The 15,451-nt window shown below is 40.1% G+C and overlaps 1 annotated feature.

Moving 5' to 3' along the window:
- Positions 4,787–5,383: an enhancer, noted in NCBI's record as "NANOG hESC enhancer chr4:53135291-53135887 (GRCh37/hg19 assembly coordinates)". NCBI's record gives its function as "activates a minimal SCP1, AML or CMV promoter by ChIP-STARR-seq in naive H9 embryonic stem cells {active_cell/tissue: H9 hESC(naive)}" and the evidence as "EXISTENCE:reporter gene assay evidence [ECO:0000049][PMID:30033119]".

Genomic DNA, 15,451 nt, shown 5'->3' on the forward strand with positions numbered 1-15,451 from the left:
GTGGTTGTGTTCCAATAATATGTTATTTACTTATGGACACTGAAATTTGAATTTCATATAATTTTCAAATACAGTGAACTATTCTTCTTTTGATTTTTTTTAACCATTTAAAAATGTAAAAACTATTCTGATCTCTGGTTTAAGCTCATCCCCTGCCAATGTCTTGGATTGGACCAGAACATGTGATACAACTCGGGTCAGTAGTGTTACTGGTGGTGAATCGTTATGGCTCTGCAGCAACCTCAATTCTTGCCTCTTCAGAAGAAAGAATTTGACCTAGGGACAGACCGAGAGTGAGAGACCAAGGCAAGGTTTAAGGCAGGAGTAAAAGTTTATTGAAAAGTTTTAGGGCAGGAATGAAAGGAAGTAAAGTACACTTGGAAGGGGACCAAGTGGGCATCTTGAGAGATCAAGTGCATGGTTTGACCTTTTGACTTGGGGTTTTATACGTTGGCCTGCTCCTAAGATCTTGTTACTTCCCCCCTGATTCTTCCCTTGAGGTGGGCTGTCTGCATGAGCAGTGGCCTGCCAGCACTTGGGAGGGGCCTCATGCACAATGTGTTTACTAAAATTGTGCACATGATCACTTGAGGCATTCACTTACCAGTCGAGTGTTCCCAAAGGAAGGTCACAGACCAGTTAAATGCTACCATTTTGCCTCTTAGTGTGCATGCTCAAGCCCACTTGCCCAACTCCTGAGATCTTATTGGGAAGCTGCTGATCACCAGTTTCAGGTTTTTCTATTGGGAGACTGCCTTTCCATGGCGCTGGCTGTGGCCAAATACTATTTTAGAGAGACAGCTTAATACCACCTGACTATTACCTGATGGTTGCCTGACATTCCTGGTTGGGTGGGGTTCATCTCCTGCACTGCTCATGTCTGACTAGTTACCTACTGGAACAGCAGGATGTGAAGGGAAGTCTGCTGGGACAGTCTGGGGAAAGATTTTCTCACACTCAGAAAGAAGCATGGGCTGGGCACAGTGGCTCCTGACTATAATCCCAACACTTTGGGAGGCTGAGGTGGGAGGAAGAGATAATCTCCTTTCTGCTTCTGGACCCTGCCTAGTCTAGATATGGCTGCTGGAAATCCTGGGCCCATCCTTTCACCAGCAGCGGAGCTGGGCTGAGAGCAAAGCCCTCACACCGATGCTGGGAGAGCTGAGAGACAGGAAGAACCTGGTCTGTCATGAAGTCTGAGCCACTGAATTAACTACCTTGACACAGCCCTCCCTGCAGTCTTCTTGTGTGAGTGTATAAATATCTCTGTTATTTCAGCAATTGAGCTGGAGTTTCCTGTTAATTGGCTGCAAAGTGAGTGGGGAGCAAAACACTCAAAGAATAGTCTGGAAGCCCATTTTATATGTCCTCATACCTTTATGAGGTATACCTTTATGAGGTATAACATCTTCAGTATACCACCTGACTGACTGATCTTCACTCTCTCCCTCAAACCCCATCTCTTCCACATTCTTCTTAGTACAACATTTGTATTTCTAGTTCCTTCTAAGGACTAAAATATTCCCTGAAATTGCACCAAATGCACATCTGAAGAAACTTCAGGGAGAGGCTCATTGCGACCTTGGGTCTCTCCTCGGCTCACTCACCAAAGTACAGCCGAGAGTGTTTCCTCATATGACCTGTGGCTTGAATCATCATTCCCTCTGCCCTTCCTGATTCCAGCCTCACACCCATGATGAATTCACCTCTTGAGTTAAACTTCTCTTCCCACAGTTCTGGCCACCCTCCCACCACATTCCTCCCCCCAGACCACCCTCTTGAGCATCTCCCCTCGCACCCAGGTGCTTGAATGTCAAGACAGGGAAGTTGTTGTTACCCAGCGTCTGACCACAAGAGATGGCACAGGCTCACAGCCCAAGAAAACACCCTGCTTTGCCCTCAGACACAGATTTGGCTAGCAGGTTACCTCCCTGTTTGCTTTTCAGGCAACTATGCAGCCCAGTCGGCTGCCTGCATTTTTTCCACCAGCAGCTGCAAACCCCTATTCCTTTCTCTGCTTGCTGCTTTTGTCACTTTCTTCTCTGTATTTATTTTCTTTGCTTGCACACCTTGTTTTTCTTTCAGGGGACCTGCCATATGGTTCTCCTGTACACAAAGTGTGGAGTGTGCAGAGGCAGCTGGTGGGGTCCCTGAACATGCTGGTCTATGCAGGTGTCCCTTGGAGCTCGAGCTGCCACCCAGCAGAGAGAGGCTAAGCCCCAAATGTGGAGAGGAGAGGAGACCAGAAAAAGGCCAAGGCAGGCCACACAGCTCATTAGTTCATTTTGATTAGTTGCTTTTATCCAGTTGTGAGGAATGGTGAACAGTGATAGATGCAGACAGTCCTGAGATTTTTATCCCCTGAATTACTTACAACTTGGCAAGATTAGATAAACCATGGAGATAGCAGATGGAAGTTGATGTGTGTATGACCAGATTGACTTGTAAGATTTATAGAAGATAGCCTGAAATCCTGATTCTACAGCCTGGAAAGTCTTCTAGGGGGCTTAGACTTTAATAGCTTTCTTTGTCTTTTGCCTCCTTGTTCATTTGTGCTGTTTTTTTCCTCATCAACCTGGGCTGAGAGCCAGGACAGCTGTTCATCTGGACACAGAACCAGGTTAGACTCTGGGCAAGGTGACAACTAAATCCAGCTCCAGATCAGCATTCCAAGGAGAGTTTAGAGAAAGGGGTGTTTTAGGTGATTCCTCCACCCAGAGGGTACACCAATTTGTAATTTATTTCACCTGAGGGCCTTTTCTAATTTGTACAAAGATATCACATAGACTAGCTGAGGGTCAGACCTTAGTCCCTCACTGACTCCTAGGAGGGAGTATCTGCTCACACCAGACACAAGTGAGTTTCTTGTAAACTACAGATTTGAGGGGTCTTGGGCAGAAGGTCTCTTTGCACAATGTACAATCTCTCTCTCACTCTCTTGTTCTGTTCCTTTGTCCCCATCTCCTTCCCCAGAAGCTTAGTGTCATCCTTGTTGCTTAAATAGGCCATTGGAAGTCTTGCTCTCCATCTCCAATGAGTTATCAAAGTATTTATTTCAAATAAATGCAAAGCTCTCCCTGCAGGGATGTCTAGTGAATAATATTACCTCTACCTCAATATGTTGTTGATGACCAAAACAAAACAGTTTTTCTTTGCTAAGCACTAAATTGTTAAACATTGTTGGTTGCAGAAGTAGAGCTCATAAGGTCAAGAGCAGAAAGCAAGCAATCAGTTATTCTCTCTTTACCCCCTCCCCTGACTCACCATTCAAACTTGTTCTGTGGAATTATGCTTTCCTCAGGTCTCCCAATGTACCTGCTTATTTTCGTTATAGTCTTACTTCTGTAATTAAACTGTCTAGTCACATGAAATAGTAAAAACTTCAAATTTCCTTTAAAATGAAGGCTCCCCAATCCTACCAGCTTGGGTCTGCACGATGGTTTCACCTGCCCATGATTCCCTTTCCTCCCTGATTCTCTTTGGGTGGAGAACCAGGGACAGGAGACGTGTGTGTTCCTGGTACCCATGAAATCTGGTGTTGATTCTCTCAGGCCCTGGCAGAAGCTTAAAGCTGAGTTTCTTTGAGCTTGATGAGTGTATAGATCTCTTCCTTTTTCTTGAAGTGTATTTGTGGGCTCTCTGGAGTTTCTCTTGCTGGACCCCTTTGACCATCACTTCAGCTGGCTGCTTTTTTTTTAGACCAAGTCTCTCTCTGTTGCCCAGGGACTACAGGCACATGCTATGACACATGGCTAATGTGCTGAGGTCAAGATTGATCACTGGGTTCAGGTGCTATCAGCTTGATCTAGACATCTGCCTTGGACCTAACAATGCTAGCAGTTATTAATGGTTACTTCCTAGATCCATTATTTCATTAGATGATTAGCCTTTTATACCCACTAATAAAAAAAAAAGTGCATTCTAAATCTAGCATCCTTATGCATTGATTGGCTCAATTGCTCCTATAGAGAGAACTTTTCCTCATTAATTATGGGATATAGTCCATACAGGAAAGGGAGGTTAGGTGTGAGGACTAAGCTCTGATTTTTTAATCTTGCCCCAATTCCCCCCAAGCTGTGTCTTGTGGGGAAAATCTACATTCTATAGAGAATTCCCTTCCCTTTCTAGGTTTTTCTTGATCCAGAAGATAATTAACAGAGTTTGGCATCTTTTAAGTCTGATAAGAAACATTTACACTCTATTCTGTCTGAAGTATGCTATCTGAGGCTTCATCCACATAATAATAACCTTGGCTTCTACAGCTCTTTATCTTGATCTAGACCCTCACTTCTATTGATTCCAAGTCTTTGGATAAATTCTTTTAACCAACTGCCAATCTGAAAATATTTGAATCCACCTACAACCTGGAAGCCCACTGACTCAAGTTGTCCTGCCTTTCTGGATGAAACCAATGTACATCTTCCATGTATCAATTGATGTCTTATGTCTCCCTAAAATGTATAAAACCAAGCTGTAGCCTGGGATCTCCTGGGGCTGTGTCACAAGACATGGTCACTCATATTTGGCTCAGAATAAATCTCTTCAAATATTTCACAGAGTTTGATTCTTTTCATCAACAGAATGAATATTTCAAATATTATTAAAAGATTAAGAGTATTAATGGCTCCCAGTCAGAGAGGGAAGAATAAATTGGGAGGTGGCAACTCAGTAGGTCAACACCAGTAATTTTGTTGTCCTGGCTATTTTACTGAGGACTAAGCTCTGATTTTTTTAAATCTTGCCCTAATTCGTATCTAAGAGATCTATGGAGTCATGCCCTACAATCCATAAGTTCTCATCAGATGGATTTTATTTAACCCTATATATCGTGACTTACTTTCTAATCGGACTCTGGCATAACATTATGTGACAAAGAAGAAAGTCGAAGTATTTTACCCCAAAACATGCTTCTTTGCCATATTTTGAAATGGTCCTGCAAAGCTGTCCTTTGTGGGGGAAAATCTGCGTCTGTAAGAATGTCTATTAACATAGCTAGCTCTTTTTCTTCCAGGCCCCCCAAGTCCTGAAAAGATTAACTAAGAGTCTAGCACCTTTTAAAGGTCTGAATAGGAAACATTTGTCATCTATTGTCTCTAAGGGCAGCCACTATAAGACTTCAAAAGAAACTTGCTGTCTATAATCTTTTATCTTAACCTGAACATTTCCTTTCTATTGATCCCAGGTCTTTAGACAAACTCAACCAATTGTCAACCAGAAAATATTTAAATTTACCTATAGCCTGGAAGCTCCCCCCTACCCCCTGCTTTGAGTTGTCCCACCTTTCTGAGCTAAAACAATGTATTTCTTAAGTGTATTTGATTGATGTCTCATGCCTCCCTAAAATGTGTAAAACCAAGCTGCACCATGACCACCTTGGGCACATGGTCTCAGGACCTCCTGAGGGCTGTGTCGTGGTCCATGCTCTTGGCTCAGAATACATCTCTTCAAATATTTTACAGAGTTTGACTCTTTTCATTGACATTACTATGCCTTGGTTTTCATATTTGAAAATAGTTTGTTCATTAACCACTTTGAGCTTCATTCAAATTTTTAAAAAGGGAGTTATGCAAAGTCCTGTGAAAATTAGTGTACCCTCTACTGCTACTAAAAATAGAAGACAGAAATATGGGGCCAGCTTTAAATATGAAAGTAATTCAATCAGCCCCAGTGCTCATTTGCCATAAATGTAGACATCAAGCAATGGAAATGTGCTGTTTCCTCTTAGCTTTAATGTATATTGCAGGTGCACATATCAGGAGTAATGAAATTCTAAAAGCCCCACAAGAGCCTAAAACCACACTGGATTGACTGCATAACAGAATTCAAAATTGGAGTAAGGGATAGACGAACTATAAAACTGACAGGATTCATTTTCGATATGAAGTTTAAAAGAAACATTCTTGCAACTCAAAGTTTGCAAGCTCTGCAATTTTTATACATTTCAGAATCAGTGTGTGAAATTACAGACATCCTCTTTCAATAAGGCACACCAGGAAAGGTGCAATAAAGCTAAAAATGCACAAATGCTTGCCCAAGGACTCTGGACACTGCAGCCACTCACTCAATACCAGTGCTTTGAGCCACCTATACTTTAAGACATCCCTGGAAACCCTGTTCACCAGTAGAGGGGATTGTCTTACAAGGGAGGGATCTCTTTCTCTCTAATTCTTTCACATATATACATATCACTTCTCTTTTCCAGTCATGTGTGCTCCCTTGCTGTCCCTGGGTTCCCCCTGTACAGATATGGACAGAGAACTCAGTACCTCTTTGAGTTACCCCAAAAGAATCCACTCACCCAAAAGCTTTAAATAAGTAAGGCAGCCTTTGCTAAACACTTTGAAAGAGAGACAAAGGAAAGTGTTTAAATTACTATCCTACAGCAAGCAACTTTAAAATTTCTTTATGCTGTGTATGCTCTCTGAAGTCCTGTTTCAACGTTACTCTCCACTCTGAATGACCTTTTCTCTCTCTCTCTGCTTCTCTTCCATGGACTGACTGCCTATGCAAATGCCTACCTAACCTATCTTTTTACTCTCTCACTCTCAGATTTCCTCAGGAACTTCAAATGTTTCTACCCTTTATTATTAGGCAGATCAAACTAGCTTTCTCTGTTCCTGCCCTCAAATTTGCCTATGAAAACTCATTGCAAAGATTCAGCAAAGTAACAGATTCTCCAGTTAATAGAACCAATACTCCATAGTTCACATATTTAACAAATATTTCCTGTGTGTCTGCCATTTGTCAATGGTTGTCTTAGGAGGTTAGGATATTGCAGTCAGTGACCATCTTTTTCTGTTTGAGCATGATTATGATGTCTCATCTCTACACCAATTTTCTCATGAAAACATTTCTTCCAAACACACATAGTATTCTCTGAAGGGAATTCTGATGAATAAAGTTGTCTACACCTTGCTATATTTATTAATGTAATGCATATATAATGTTATATATATTCATGTTCCAAATACTATATATGAGTATTTATTAATGTTTCATATGTGAATCATGAAGGAATTAAAAATCTGAACAGACCTATAACTAATACGATTGAATCAGTGATCAAAAACCTCCCAATAGAGAAAAGCTCAGGATCAGATGGCCTCACTAGAGAATTCTACCAAATATTTAAGAAGAATTAACACTAATCCTTCTCAAACTCTCAAAAAATAAAAATTAAAGAGTAAAGCTGGGTGCAGAGGCTCATGCCTATAATCCCAGCACTTAGAGAGGCCGAAGCAGGAAGATTGCTTGAGCCTAGGAGTTCAAGGCTAGCCTAGGCAACATAGAGAGATCCTGGCTCTATGAAGGAAAAAAAAAAAAAGAAAAGAAAAATTGAACTGGAGAAAACTCTTCCAAATTCATTCTATGAGGTCAGACTTACCCTGTATTCAACATCAAAGATACTATAACTAAACTACAGGCCAATATCCTTGATCAATGTAATATACCACCTTAACAGAATGAAGGACAAATACACATAAATCATCTCAACTGATAGAGCAAAAGCATTTGACAAAAATCAGTACCCTTTCATGACAAAAACGCTCAACACTAGGAATAGAAGGAATTTACCTCAACATAATAAAGCCCATATGTGAAATGCCCACAATAAAATCATACTTAATGGTGAAAATTAAAAGCCTTTTCTCCAAGGTCAGGGACAAGGTAAGAATGCCCAGTCCTACCACTCCTACTCGGCATAGTTCTAGAAGTCTTAGCCAAAGCAATTGGTCAAGAAAAATAAATAAAAGGCATCTAGATATAAAAGGAAGAAGTAAAGCTTTATGACATTGAGTTTATTTCAATGGAGAAAAGCTTTATGACATAGGATTTGTCAGTGATTTATTGGATATGACACCAAAAGCACAGCAGTAAAAGCAAAAATAGACTAATGGGTTTACATAAAACTTTAAAACTTTGGTGCAGCAAAGGAATAATTTAACCCCTTTTCCCATTTGTCCTGAGAATACTCACTGGTGGTGCTTGCAGCAGCAGCATTTACCCTGAGATAACGTTGCCATGAACTATCTTGCTTTTATTATTATTTTCTCATCACTCTAGCTATCGACTTTGGAAACAAAAGACATCATTCAATTTAAAGCATTCGTAGATAGTTAGTAGTGGTATTTCTATTTACAAAACATAGTAATTCTCTACTGCCAAAAATGTCAAATCCTAGAAAATGTAGCATTCCTACAAATAATGTTAACATTGTTGTTGAATAGTTATAGGCCAAAGATTCATTTGATGAATCTGATTTTCCTGAAATGGATGATTCTGATGATCAGACAATTCTTATGTGAGTTCTGTTTATAAATAACTCTAAAGACAGTTTTTATATTTTATTTTCACATTGAAAATCAGTCAGATTTGTATCAGCCTCAAAGAGTGTGTTTATATAAAATTAAATAAGTGCTGGCAGTGAGCTACGCTTTCTTTTCTAAACAGAAAAAAGGTTAACAAGTGAAAAGACAACCTGCAGAATGGGAGAAAATATCTGTCAATCATATATCTCATAAGGGTATAATATCCAGAAAATAACCCCTATAAAGAACTCCTACAACTCAACAACAACAAAACAAATAATCCAACTAGGAAATGAACAAAATACCTGAACAGACATTTCTTCAAAGAAGATATACAGTTGGCCAAAGGCCATGAAAAGCTGCTCAGCATCACTAATCATCAGGGAAATGCAAATCAAAATCCCATTTAGATAATCACCTCACACCCACCAGATGGGCATTATCAAAAATACAGAAAATAATGTGTTGACAAGGATGTGAAGAAATTGGAACCCTTGTGTATTATTGGTGGGGATGTAAAATGGTACAAGCACTATAGAAAATAGTATGAAGTTTCCTCAGAATTTAAAAATTAAAATACAGTTACTGGGAGTGGGGTGTGTGTGGCCAAGATGGCCAAATAGAAGCAGCTAGTATGCATTACTCTCACAGAGAGGAATGGAAAGGGTGAGTAAATACAGCACCTTCAACTGAAACATGCAGGTACACCCACTGGAACTAATCAAGGAAACAACTCGACCCATGGAGAATGGAGAAAAGCAAGGCAAGACGACAGCCCACTCAGGAGCAACATGAAACCACAGGAACCTCCCCTGCCCAGGTAAGTGGTACTGAAAAATCCGAGGTGACTAGGGACTGGAGCAGACCCCCAGCATACTGCAGTAGCCCTATGCAAAATTGGCCAGACTGTCACGTGGGTGCCCATTCCTTTATCTCCTTGCTGGGCAGTTCCTCCAGGCTTGGGCCTCCAGCCACCCCTTGCTGGGGCTATCAAGCCATTAGAAGCTCTATAACTTCCTAGACAAAGCCCCCAGGCACAACTGGAAACCTCTTTTCTCAAGCCTTTGTAGTGGAACTGCCCTTGCTACCCTTGGACTAATGAAGGAGCAAAGTTCCTAAGTGCCTTATCCACACCTCCAACAAGCTGCAGTCAAACCAACGTCCATCTTCCATGGGTCCCACCCATGCCCTACTGCTCATCACCAAACAGAAAACCCCCAGCTTGGGCCCACAGAACAGACCCTCCCTCCTGGGCTGATTGCACTGAATGACTGCTAACCTACATCTCTCAAGCAAAAGACCCTTGGCCACAACCACTACTAATGTCCCTTCTTCTGCTCCAGGTTGGGGAAGGAACATAAACACTGATATCACCTCAGAGCTGCAGTGGGCAGCCCAGGAGTGCCAAGCTGTGAACTACAGCCAGCACTCAAGGGGGAGAAGAGCCAACACCTTCAGAACATTGAGAGGGAACACAGCTACAACTATGAGGAAACACAGGGGAGCCACACAATTGAGCAAGAATCTAGCAATTGACCAATAAGCCTAAGTGCCATCTACTTGATCACACCCCAAAACTTCAGCACTAAAAATACCTTCCTAACATACTCCACTCTGAAATCAAAGACAAGAAGTCAGCTTCAAATACAGACCCTGCACAAAGCCTTGGCTTTGTGAAAACATCCAGAAAAGAAGTCTGTTGATTGCACTCAATCTACCCTGCAGTTAAAGGAACACCCACATGCATAGATAAGAAAGAATCACCATTGCACTCCACCCTGGGCGACAAGAGTGAAACACCATCTCAAAAAAAAAAAAAAAAAAATATATATATATATATATATATATATATAAGAATCAGTGCAAGAATTCCACCAACTCAAATGGCCAGAATGTCGTGTGTCCTTCAAACAACTGCACCAGGTCTCCAGCAAGGGTTCTTAACCAAGCTAAGCTGGCTGAAATGATAGAAAGAGAATTCACAATATGGATAGAAATGAAGACCATCAAGATTCAGAAAAATGGCAAAACCCAATCCAAGGAAACTAAGAATCATGATAAAATGATACAGGAGCTAGAGGACAAAATATCTGGTATATAAAAGAACCTAATGAGCTGACAGAGCTGAAAAATGTAATACAAGAATTTCACAATGCAATCACAAGTATTAACAGCAGAATAGACCAAGCTGAGGAAAGAATCTCAGAACCTGAAGACTGGTTCCCTTAAATGAAAGAGTCAGACAAAAATAAAGAAAAAAGGATAAAAAGGAACGAACAAAACCTCTGAGAAGTATGAGATTATATAAAGGGCCAAATCTATGAATCACTGGCATCCCTGAAAGGGAGGAGGAGAAATCAAGCAACTTGGAAAATATATTTCAGGATATCATCCATGAAAACTTCCCCAACCTTGCTAGAGAGGCCAACAGTCAAATTCAGGAAATAGAGAGAACTCCTGCAAGATTCCACACAAGAAGATCATTCCCCAAGACATATCTTCTTCAGATTTTCCAAGGTCAAAATGAAAGAAAGAATGTTGGCCAGTGATGGCGAGCATTTTTTCATGTGTTTTTTGGCTGCATAAATGTCTTCTTTTGAGAAGTGTCTGTTCATGTCCTTCGCCCACTTTTTGATGGGATTGTTTGTTTTTTTCTTGTAAATTTGTTGGAGTTCATTGTAGATTCTGGATATTAGCCCTTTGTCAGATGAGTAGGTTGCAAAAATTTTCTCCTATTTTGTGGGTTGCCCGTTCACTCTGATGGTAGTTTCTTTTGCTGTGCAGAAGCTCTTTAGTTTAATTAGATCCCATTTGTCAATTTTGGCTTTTGTTGCCATTGCTTTTGGTGTTTTAGACATGAAGTCCTTGCCCGTGCCTATGTCCTGAATGGTAATGCCTAGATTTTCTTCTAGGGTTTTTATGGTTTTAGGTCTAATGTTTAAGTCTTTAATCCATCTTGAATTGATTTTTGTATAAGGTGTAAGGAAGGGATCCAGTTTCAGCTTTCTACATATGGCTAGCCAGTTTTCCCAGCACCATTTATTAAATAGGGAATCCTTTCCCCATTGCTTGTTTTTCTCAGGTTTGTCAAAGATCAGATAGTTGTAGATATGCGGCGTTATTTCTGAGGGCTCTGTTCTGTCCCATTGATCTATATCTCTGTATTGGTACAAGTACCATGCTGTTTTGGTCACTGTAGCCTTGTAGTATAGTTTGAAGTCAGGTAGTGTGATGCCTCCAGCTTTGTTCTTTTGGCTTAGGATTGACTTGGTGGTGCGGGCTCTTTTTTGGTTCCGTATGAACTTTAAAGTAGTTTTTTTCCAATTCTGTGAAGAAAGTCATTGGTAGCTTGATGGGGATGGCATTGAATCTATAAATTACCTTGGGCAGTATGGCCATTTTCACGATATTGATTCTTCCTACCCATGAGCATGGAATGTTCTTCCATTTGTTTGTATCCTCTTTTATTTCATTGAGCAGTGGTTTGTAGTTCTCCTTGAAGAGGTCCTTCACATCCCTTGTAAGTTGGATTCCTAGGTATTTTATTCTCTTTGAAGCAATTGTGAATGGGAGTTCACTCATGATTTGGCTCTCTGTCTGTTATTGGTGTATAAGAATGCTTGTGATTTTTGTACAATGATTTTGTATCCTGAGACTTTGCTGAAGTTGCTTATCAGCTTAAGGAGATTTTGGGCCAAGACAATGGGGTTTTCTAGATATACAATCATGTCGTGTGCAAACAGGGACAGTTTGACTTCCTCTTTTCCTAATTGAATACCCTTTATTTCCTTCTCCTGCCTGATTGCCCTGGCCAGAACTTCCAACACTGTGTTGAATAGGAGTGGTGAGAGAGGGCATCCCTGTCTTGTGCCCCTTTTCAAAGGGAATGCTTCCAGTTTTTGCCCATTCAGTGTGATATTGGCTGTGGGTTTGTCATAGATAGCTCTTATTATTTTGAGATACGTCCCATCAATACCTAATTTATTGAGAGTTTTTTGCATGAAGCATTGTTGAATTTTGTCACAGGCCTTTTCTGCATCTATTGAGATAATCATGTGGTTTTTGTCTTTGGCTCTGTTAATATGCTGGATTACATTTATTGATTTGTGTATATTGAACCAGCCTTGCATCCCAGGGATGAAGCCCACTTGATCATGGTGGATAAGCTTTTTGATGTGCTGCTGGATTCAGTTTGCCAGTATTTTATTGAGGATTTTTGCATCAATGTTCATCAAGGATATTGGTCTAAAATTCTCTTTTTTGGTTGTGTCTCTGCCCGGCTTTGGTATCAGGATGATGCTGGCCTCATAAAATGAGTTAGGGAGGATTGCCTCTTTTTCTATTGATTGGAATAGTTTCAGAAGGAATGGTACCAGTTCCTCCTTGTACCTCTGGTAGAATTCGGCTGTGAATCCATCTGGTCCTGGACTCTTTTTGGTTGGTAAGCTATTGATTATTACCACAATTTCAGATCCTGTTATTGGTCTATTCAGAGATTCAACTTCTTCCTGGTTTAGTCTTGGGAGAGTGCAACCACAATGAGATATCATCTCACACCAGTTAGAATGGCAATCATTAAAAAGTCAGGAAACAACAGGTGCTGGAGAGGATGTGGAGAAATAGGAACACTTTTACACTGTTGGTGAGACTGTAAACTAGTTCAACCATTGTGGAAGTCAGTGTGGCGACTCCTCAGGGATCTAGAACTAGAAATACCATTTGACCCAGCCATCCCATTACTGGGTATATACCCAAAGGACTATAAATCATGCTGTTATAAAGGCACATGCACCCGTATGTTTATTGCAGCACTATTCACAATAGCAAAGACTTGGAACCAACCCAAATGTCCAACAATGATAGATTGGATTAAGAAAATGTGGCACATATACACCATGGAATGCTATGCAGCCATAAAAAATGATGAGTTCGTGTCCTCTGTAGGGACATGGATGAAATTGGAAATCATCATTCTCAGTAAACTATTGCAAGAACAAAAAACCAAACACTGCATATTCTCACTCATAGGTGGGAATTGAACAATGAGAACACATGGACACAGGAAGGGGAACATCACACTCTGGGGACTGTTGTGGGTTGGGGGGAGGTGGGAGTGGGGAGGGATAGCACTGGGAGATATACCTAATGCTAGATAACGAGTTAATGGGTGCAGCGCACCAGCATGTCACATGTATACATATGTAACTAACCTTCACATTGTGCACATGTACCCTAAAACTTAAAGTATAATAAAAAAAGAAAAAGAAAGAAAGAATGTTGAAGTCAGCTAGAGAGAAAGGGCAGGTTACCTACAAAGGGATCTCCATTAGGCTAAAAGAGGACCTTCCAGCTGAAACCCTGCAAGCCAGAAGAGACTGGGGGCCTGTATTCAACATTCTTAAAGAAAAAAAGTCTTCAGCCAAGAATTTCACATCCAGCCAAGCTAAGCTTCTTAAGTGAAGGAGGAATAAGATCCATTTCAGATAAGCAGATAATAGACGGAGTTTGTTACCATCAGACCTGCCTTACAAGAGATCCTTGAAAGGAGCACTAAATGCACAAAGACAACTACCAGCTAATACAAAAACTCAAGTAAACACACAGACCAATGACACTATAAAGCAACCATACAAACAGGCCAGCAAAATAACCAGCTAACAACACAATGACAGAATCAAATCCACATATAGCAATACTAACCTTGAATGTAAATGGGCTAAATGCCCCCACTTAAAAGGCACAGACTGGAAAGCTGGATAAAAAAGCAAGTCCCAATGGCATGCTGTCTTTAAGAGACCCATTTTACACATAATGACACCTATAGGCTCAAAATAAAGAGATGGAAGAAAATCTACCAAGCAAATGAAAACAGAAAGAAAAAAAAAGGCCAGGGGTTGCAATCCTAATTTCAGACAAAACAGACTTTAAACAGACAAAGATCAAAAAAGACAAAGAAAGGCATTACATAATGGTAACAATTTCAATTCAACAAGGCCTAACTATCCTAAATATATATGCACCCAACACAGGAGCATCCAGATTGATAAAGCAAGTTTTTAGAGACCTACAAAGAGATGAAGACTCCCACACAATTATAATGAGAGATTTTAACAATCCACTGACAGTGTTAAATCATCAAAGCAGAAAATTAACAAAGATATTCAGGACCTGAACTCAACATTGGGCCAAATGGATCTGATAGACCTTTATAGAACTCTTCACCCCAAAACAACACAACGTATATTCTTCTTATTGCCACATGACACATACTCTAAAATTGACCAAATAATTGGACATAAAACAAACCTCAGCAAATGCAAAAGAACTGAAATCATACCAGACACATTTTCAGACCACAGTGCAATAAAAATAGAAGTCAAGACTGAGAAAATAGCTCAAAATCATGCAATTACATGGAGATTAAACAAGCTGATCCTGAATGACTTTTGGGTAAATAATGAAATTAAGGCAGAAATCAAGAAGTTTTTTTAAATGGATGAGAACAAAGACACAACATACCAGAATCTCTGGGACACAGCTAAGATAGCATTAAGAGGGAAATTCATAGCACTAAATGCCCATGCCAAAAAGCAGGGAAAAGCTCTAATTAAGAACCTAACATCACAACTGAAAGAATTAAAGAAGCAAGAACAAATCAACTCCAAAACTAGCAGAAGACAAGAAATAACCAAAATCAGAGTTGAACTGATGGAAATTGAGACATGAAAAACTATTCAAAAGATCAATGAGTCCAGGAGTTTATTTTTTGAAAAAAATAGTAAGATGCATAGGCTGCTAGCAAGACTAATAAAGAAGAAAAGAGAGAAGATCCAAATAAACACAATTAGAAATCATGAAGGAGATGTTACCACTGAAGGCACAGAGATAAAAATAAACATGAGAAACTACTATGAAAACCTCTATGCAAACAAACTAGAAAACTAGAAGAGATTGATGAATTCCTGGATACATACACCCTCCCAAGACTGAACCAGGAAGAAATTGATTCCCTGAATAGACCAATAATGAATTCTGAATATGAATCAGTAATAAATAGCCTATCAACCAATAAAAGCACAGGACCTGATAGATTCACAGCCAAATTCTTCCAGATGTACAAAGAAGAGCTGGTACCATTCCTA

Source organism: Homo sapiens, chromosome 4 (genome assembly GCF_000001405.40).
Source record: "Homo sapiens chromosome 4, GRCh38.p14 Primary Assembly".
NCBI classification, from domain to species: domain Eukaryota; kingdom Metazoa; phylum Chordata; class Mammalia; order Primates; family Hominidae; genus Homo; species Homo sapiens.